At 40.6% G+C, this 7,937-nt stretch overlaps 1 annotated feature.

The window, feature by feature from the left end:
- Nucleotides 1–60: an enhancer, noted in NCBI's record as "active region_23951". NCBI's record gives its function as "activates an Ori minimal core promoter by ATAC-STARR-seq in GM12878 lymphoblastoid cells {active_cell/tissue: GM12878}" and the evidence as "EXISTENCE:reporter gene assay evidence [ECO:0000049][PMID:35858748]".

Here is a 7,937-nt window from a genome sequence, read left to right as displayed (position 1 = left end):
GAGCTAGACAACGTCCACATGTGATTCAAGAGGAGGAGGCATGGGGTGGGTGGAGTTGGAGGGACAGGAGCAGATCTGGGCTTTGAAGTCCGCTGGAATGTATGAACCGACTTGATAAAATTAGAGGTAACTTCGCCCCCTGCAGGACACCAAAATATTACCGCCCCTTCCTCTGCGGGCCCGGAACAAGCTTCATGAAGTTCTCTGTGTTTCTAAAACATCTGGGTGGAAAGAGGAGGAATTCGATCAAGAAGCCGGATGTGGGAGCCAATCCAATCAAACATCTGGTTGCTTGGCTGACATTTCATGCAGATGGCCTTCAGTTTTCTGGCAATACGTTGCCTGTCCCATCTCCCTGCCCCACTTAATGAAGAAATGAGGAGCCCTCACCAGAAAGCACAGGTTCATCCCATACTTCCAGTGATAGTGGGAATAGGACGGGAATTCTGTCTCCAAGTGTTTATTAAGGCACCATGTAATTCACGCAACAAATCCTTTAAACCTGTAGTTGTCCTTGTTCCTTATATATTCTGAGGGTTTCTGTTATACATTTATAACACACTTGACCAAATAGCTTCTATTTTGTAAACATGCTGTTTATTAATTTGACATATTAAACACATATTCTATATTACCTTATTAGCAATAAACTGCAACTTCAGTCTTGGATTTTATATTAAATTTTACATTGGTCCCTTTCAACTGCATTTCCTGAAGATGTAAGTTGCTGCTTTTAGAATTAACTTAATAAAAATATCTTGGCCAGGTATGTAATAGCAACACTTTGAGAGGCTGAGGCAGGCAGATCACTTGAGCCCAGGAGCTCGAGATCAGGCTGGGCAACCTAGTAAGACCTTGTTTCTACAAAAAAAAAAAAAAAAAAAAAATACAAAAATTAGCCGGGTGTGGTGGTGCACGCCTGTAGTTCCAGCTCCTCAGGAGGTTGAGGTGGGAGGATCGCTTGAGCCAGGGAGGTGGAGGTTACAGTGAGCCCAGATCACCAGATCACACCACTGCACTCCAGCCTGGGTGACAGCAAGACCCTGTCTCAAAAAAAAAAAAAAAAAATCTTGTAAACTGTGTAGCTGTCATGTTTAAAAGACTGAGGTCTAGCCTCCTTGAATTATTGAGACGTTCCACTCCAAAGACCAACTTTTTATCTTTACTATTAGCATAAGGACCTGAGTACTTCTTAATGTTAATTTCAAAGTATAATAATTCGATCAAATTTTTAAAATATCGATTTAGAGTTGAGTGAAAAGAAAATAGATAAATGGTTGTAAAGTATGAGAAATGAAAATTTGCAAGTGAAATAAGTATTGCTTCTGAAAGCTACACCTGTAAGACAGCCTTCAAAAGACCTGTCTCATCCAAAAGTCTGTGGTAACATTTACATTCAGTCACACTCCGCTTTCACTGTCTACTCAAAAATGCTGGGCATTCACACTTCAAAATATCATTCAAGTCATCATATTTTCCTACTCATGAAGGACATCTGGTGGCAAAGTGAAAAACTAATACATAAATCTGTTTCCAGAGATTTTTTTCCACACCATAACCCAAATAGCAAATCTGTTACTTGTACGTGTTTCAAGCTTTTCACACAAGCTCAGATCTCTATGACCCTAGGATTTAGGCTGTCTACATAATATTAAGCAACAGAATATTTCGAGACATCCAGATGATTAAATCGTTTGTGAAATTTTCATTGAGTAATTAACATGTGCAGACTAAGTCTTCAATTTTTTTTCTGAGCAAAACAATGCTTAACACATTTCCATGACTAGTTTTACTATCCCTGAAGAGTTTTATTCCAAGAAATGATTGGACACTTAGTTAACTGGGGTGCATGAGGCTCCCTGGCCTGTGCTGGCCTCTGAGCTTCAGTCCATTTTGTGACCCCACTCTGTACCTCCTGTCCAGGATGTGTCTCTGTGTCACTAGGAGGTAACATAAAAATATGACATTATCCTGTTAGTAATCCCCTTAACTAGCAAAGCCGTAACCAGTGGCATGTGGAGCCAGGGAAAAGCACACTGGTGGTAAAATCAGGTTAAAATGAAAGTCACTGACAGCTTTTTAAAAAGAAGAGAAAGGCTAATTACCCAGTCTTCATTCATTCATTCAACACATCTTTCCATGCCTATGTGCCAGGCAGTGGTCTAGGTTTTGGGATACCAAACAGAAATCCCTGTCCACATAGATTCTAGATGGGGAAATGGATAGTAAACAAAATAACTAGGAATGTATACTGTGGTAGGCAGGATGTTGGCCCTCATGATTTTTGCCCCTGGTTTTGAAGGGGAAGAGGCCACAGGCCAGGGAATACAGGCAACCTCTGGAAGCCAGCAAGAAAATAGCAACCCCCGTCTTAATTCTGAATTCTTTCAACAACCTGAATAAGCCTAGAAGCAGATTCTTACTTAGAGCCTCCAGATAAGAGCCAGGGCAGGTGACATCTTGATGTCAGCCTGGTGAGACCCAGAACGAAGAAGGGAGCCTAGCCTACTGGTCTTCCAATCTGTGGGACCCTGAGACAATGAACTTGTGTTGTTTTAAGCCACTAAATGTGTGATATTTTGTTTTGACAACAATGGGAAACTAACACATATATAGTAGGGTGGTAAGTGCTGCGGAGAAAATTCAAACAGGGGAGGGGGCTAGGGAGTGTGTGGATGGTCAGGTAAGGCATCACCTCCTGACAGAGAAGACAGCACTTGAGCAGAGACCTGACAGAGTCTGTGGAGCCAGCCATGGGGATACCTTCAGACAGAGCTCTCTAGGCAGTAGAAATGGTAAGTGCAAAGGCCCTGTGGCAGGGGCATGCCTGGTGAGTTTGAGAAGAACAAGAAGGCCAATGAGGCTAGAACAGAGGACATGAGAGGGAATAACAGTAGGAAATTGGATCAGAAAGCCAAGGGAGGGTGGGAATTGGGGCCAAGGTGCTATAGAGTTCTGGACGCCAGACACCTTGGAGGAGATTTGGGCTTTTAAAAAAGCGTGAGATGGCACAACATGGAAAAATCTCACAAACATAACAGTGAGGAAAAGAAGCCAGATAAGAAACAACACATACTGTAATTCTATTTCCACAAAATTCAAAAACAGGCTTACCTAATCTAGAAGACAGCGTAGTGGTTCCCTTTGGAGAGACAAGTGGGAGTATTGATTGAATGACAGCACGTGGGGTTTCCCAACAGTTGGTCTATTTCCTTACCTGGGTGGTGGTTATACAGGTGTAGTCAATTTTAATCATTTCATGAGTGCTACACAGAGGCTCTGTACGCTTTCTGTACGTATGTTACTTTGCAATAAAAACTTTGGTTTAAAAAAATAAGTATGAGAACAACAACAAACAAGTGTGAGATGGGAGGGCTGTTAGATGGTTTCGAGCGAGAAGTGACAGGAGCCAACTTAAATTTTAAGAGTCTCTCAGGTCACTGTGTTGAGAACAGACTATGGAGTTGCCAGGGCAGAATCAGGGACACTAGTCAGGAAACCGTTTATGCTCAGACAAAAAATGATAACGGCTCGTAGGGGACCTCATATGGAAATAGTGAAGGTACAGAAAAGTAGTTGGATTCTGGACACATTTGAAGGCAAACCCCGATGATAAGAGGATGTGCATGTTGCATGGAAAAACAAGCCATGCAACAACTTCTCCTTCTGTAGAGGTCCCTCCCACTGCACAAAGCCTGGGGTAGTAGTGTGAATTTACTATGGCTGAGGAAGATCGTGTTCATGCACTAATGACTGTGGGTTAATATGCTGACCATGCCAAAAAGTGGCTTGGAGGAGCTTTGGCATCAGCACCCACACTACAAAAAACCACTCATAATACTCATAATAAACAGAGGGCTTGCCGGGAAAGAACAGCTTCAAGACAAGTCCCCTAATAGCCTTCCCACAAGATTCCCTCTGTAGTAACATAATAGCTCCATCTCTGAACATAAAATTTCTTCCAAGATATGAAGTTTAGCCATTAAGTATTCATTTTCTATTTTTTTTTTTTTTTTTTTTTTGAGACGGAGTCTCGCTCTGTCGCCCAGGCTGGAGTGCAGTAGTGCGATCTCGGCTCGCTGCAACCTCCGCCTCCTGGATTCATACCATTCTTCTGCCTCAGCCTCTCAAGTAGCTGGGACTACAGGTGCCCGCCACCACACCCGGCTAATTTTTTGTATTTTTAGTAGAGATGGGGTTTCACCATGTTAGCCAGGATAGTTAAGTATTCATTTTCAAAGGACTCCTATAAATGTGGTATCCTGGATGAGTTATTGAAGGAAAAATAAGAACTTTAAGAAAAAGCTAATCAAATTGAAATAAAGTATGGAGTTTACTTAGTAATGCTATATTAATGTTGATTCATTAATTATGATGTAAAATGTCATGTTATAATAATAGGAGACACTGGGTGTAAGATATACAGGAACTCTCTGTACTATCTTTGCAATTTCTCTGTAGATTTAAAATTATGCTAAAATTAAAGCTAATTTTTTAAAAAAACATTCTTGTAGCTTTAATCTTAAGATGTAATAATTCAAGCTCAGTTACCTCCTTTGCTGTAGAAAGTAATACATGCTTGGGCCAGGCACGGTGGCTCACACCTGTAATACCAGCACTTTGGGAGGCCAAGGCAGGCAGATCACCTGAGGTCAGGAATTCAAGACCGGCCTGGCCAACATGGTGAAACCCTGTCTCTACTAAAATTACAAAAATTAGCCGGGTGTGGTGGTGGGCATCTGTAATCCCGCTACTTGGGAGGCTGAGGCAGGAGAATTGCTGAAACCTGGAAGGCGGAGGTTGCAGTGAGCTGAGATCACAGCATTGCACTCCAGCCTGGGTAACACAAGTGAGATTCTGTCTCAAAAAAAAAAAAGTAATACATGCCTTTATTCCAATTAGATTAGTAATGACAAAATTATATCGCTAAGTTTTTACTCAGGATTGAATTTATTAATCTATATTAAATCAATTATTACTAAAGCCAAGCTTCTTAGCTCCCAATTTACTGTTTCCTTACACATTGTCTCAAGCCACTTAGTGTTGAGTTTTTCCATAATTCATTTTTAACTCAAAATTATGGGATTACCTAAAGATGTTAAATTTCATGTCAACTTTTCTCGCCTTCCTGTAAGTTACTTGCACGTTGTTTTTAGGATTCCACTTTGATTGACTGATTGATAGCATTTTTTAGTTATCTTTTTGTATAGCTTTCATACTGGTTGCTCAGGTTACTAAAATATGCATTTGTGACTTATCACAGTCTATTGGTATCAACATATTTCTACATATTTCTACCTCAGTTGAGGTTCAATTCACTTAGTTCCCTTTACTTTCCCACTATTGAATATTATTATCTCATTGTCTTGCATATAAGATGGTGTTATATTTTTGCTTCAATCATCAAATATGATTTTTTTTTTTTTGAGACAGGGTCTCTCTCTGTCGCTCAGGCTGGAGTGAAGTGGCATGCTCATGGCTCACTGCAGCCTCGACCTCCCAGGCTCAAGCTATCCTCCCACCTCAGCCTCCCTAGTAGCTGAGACTATAGGCATGCACCACCACACCTGGCTAATTTTTGTATTTGTTGTAGAGATGGGGTTTTGCCATGTTGCCCAGGCTGGTTTCAAACTCCTGGGCTCAGGTGATTTGCCCAAACTTGGCTTCCTAAAGTACTGGGATTACAGACATGAGCCATCATGCCTGGCCTAAATATGATTTCTAAAACTCAAGAGGAAATTCATATTCGATTGTATGTACCAATATTTCTGCCCTTTAAATTCTTCCTCCTTCCGTCCTGATGCTCCAAGAGTCTTTCTTTTATCATTTTCTTTCTGGATGAAGAATTCTCTTTAGCCATTCTTTTTTTTTTTTTTTTTTTTTTTTTTTTTTTTTTTTTTTTTGAGACGGAGTCTCGCTCTGTCGCCCAGGCTGGAGTGCAGTGGCGCGATCTCGGCTCACTGCAAGCTCCGCCTCCCGGGTTCACGCCATTCTCCTGCCTCAGCCTCCCGAGTAGCTGGGACTACAGGCGCCCGCTACCACGCCCGGCTAATTTTTTGTATTTTTAGTAGAGACGGGGTTTCACCGTGTTAGCCAGAATGGTCTCGATCTCCTGACCTCGTGATCCGCCCGCCTCGGCCTCCCAAAGTGCTGGGATTACAGGCGTGAGCCACCGCGCCCGGCCTCTTTAGCCATTCTTTAAGGGTAGGTACACCAGCAACAAAGTCTTTTAGTTTTCTTTTGTCTAAGAATTAGCTTATTTCTCCTTCATTCTTGAAGGATAGCTTCACTGGATATAGAATTTGCAGTTGACAGTTCTTTTCTTTCAGTTCTTGAAAATGTTGTGCCACTTTGTTTGGCCGCCATGGTTTCAGATGAGAAATCTACCATCATTCTAATTGTTTTTCCCTAGGAAGTAACGAATTGTTTCTCCCTGGCTGCTTTCAAGACTTCTTTACTTTTAGTTCCCAGAAGTTTAATTATGATGTGTCTTCACGTGGATTTCTTTGGGTTTATTTCGTTCAGGATTTGCTCAGCTTCCTGAACATGTACGTGTGTGTTTTTCAAAAAATGTGGAGTTTTCAGCCATTATTTATTCAAATACTCTTTGAGTCTGATTCTCTTGCTCCTCTCCTCCTGAGACTCTGACAGTAAATTGTTGCATCTTGTGTTATTGTTCTACATTCCTGAGTTTCTATTGATTCCCCTCAACACACACTGCCCCTCCCATCTATTTTCTCTGTGTTTTTCTGATTGGACGAATTCTATTGATATGTTCTGAAGTGCGCTGATTCTGTTCTCTGTCGTCCCACTCTATGATTGAGCCTATCCAGAAGATTTTTTTCCTTCTGTAATTATATTTTTTTCAGTTCTATAATTTCCATTTTTTTATTATTATTATTATACTTTAAGTTTTAGGGTACATGTGCACAATGTGCAGGTTAGTTACATATGTATACATGTGCCATGCTGGTGTGCTGCACCCATTAACTCGTCATTTATCATTAGCTATATCTCCTAATTCTGTCCCTCTCCCCTCCCCCCCATAATTTCAATTTTTTTAATCGCTTCTGTTTCTTTGCCGAGATTTTCTACTTTTTCATTTGTGTGAAGACAATTTGTAATTAAATGTGGAAGCATTTTTATGACAGCTGCATTAAAATTCCTGATGATTTGGATAATGTGGGATAACGCCTACATCTGATTGTTCTTGGTGTTGACGTCAGATGATTGTCTTTTTTTAAACTTTATTCTTTAGAGTATTTATGTTTATAGAAAAATTGAGAGGAAGGTGCAGAGAGTTCCCATATACTCCCTGCCTCCCCTACATGTATACTCTCTTCCATCATCAACATCCTGCACCAGAAGTTACAACTGAGTAACCTACACTGACACATCATAATCACCTAACGGCCGTAGTTATATTAGGGTTTATTCTTGGTGTTGGACAGTCTACGGATTTGGACAAATGTGTAATGACATGTATCCACCATTATAGTATAACACAGAGTAGTTTCACTGCTCTAAAACTTCTCTGTGCTCCACCCATTCACCCTTCCCTCCTCCCCACCATCTGACAACCACTGATCTTTTTACTGTCTCCATAATTTTGCCTTTCCAGAAGGTCATCTAATTGGAACAATACAGTGTATAGTCTTTTCAGATTGGCTTCTCTCACTTAGTAATATGCATTTAAGTTTCCTCCATGTTTTTTCATGGCTTTATAGCTCATTTTTTTAGCACTGAATAATATTTCATTTTTTGGATGTACCATAGTTTATTTATTCATTTATCTAGTGAAGGACATCTTGATTGACTCCAAGTTTTGGCAGTTAGGAATAAAGCTGCTATAAACATCTATGTGCAAGTTTTTGTGTGGATATAAATTTTCAGCACCTTTGGATAAAAACCAAGAAGTGTGATTGCTAGATCATATG

This window comes from Homo sapiens, chromosome 6 (genome assembly GCF_000001405.40).
Source record: "Homo sapiens chromosome 6, GRCh38.p14 Primary Assembly".
In the NCBI taxonomy this organism is placed as follows: domain Eukaryota; kingdom Metazoa; phylum Chordata; class Mammalia; order Primates; family Hominidae; genus Homo; species Homo sapiens.
The sequence above is the reverse complement of the archived record's forward strand: the minus strand, read 5'-3'. Positions and strand labels throughout refer to the sequence as shown.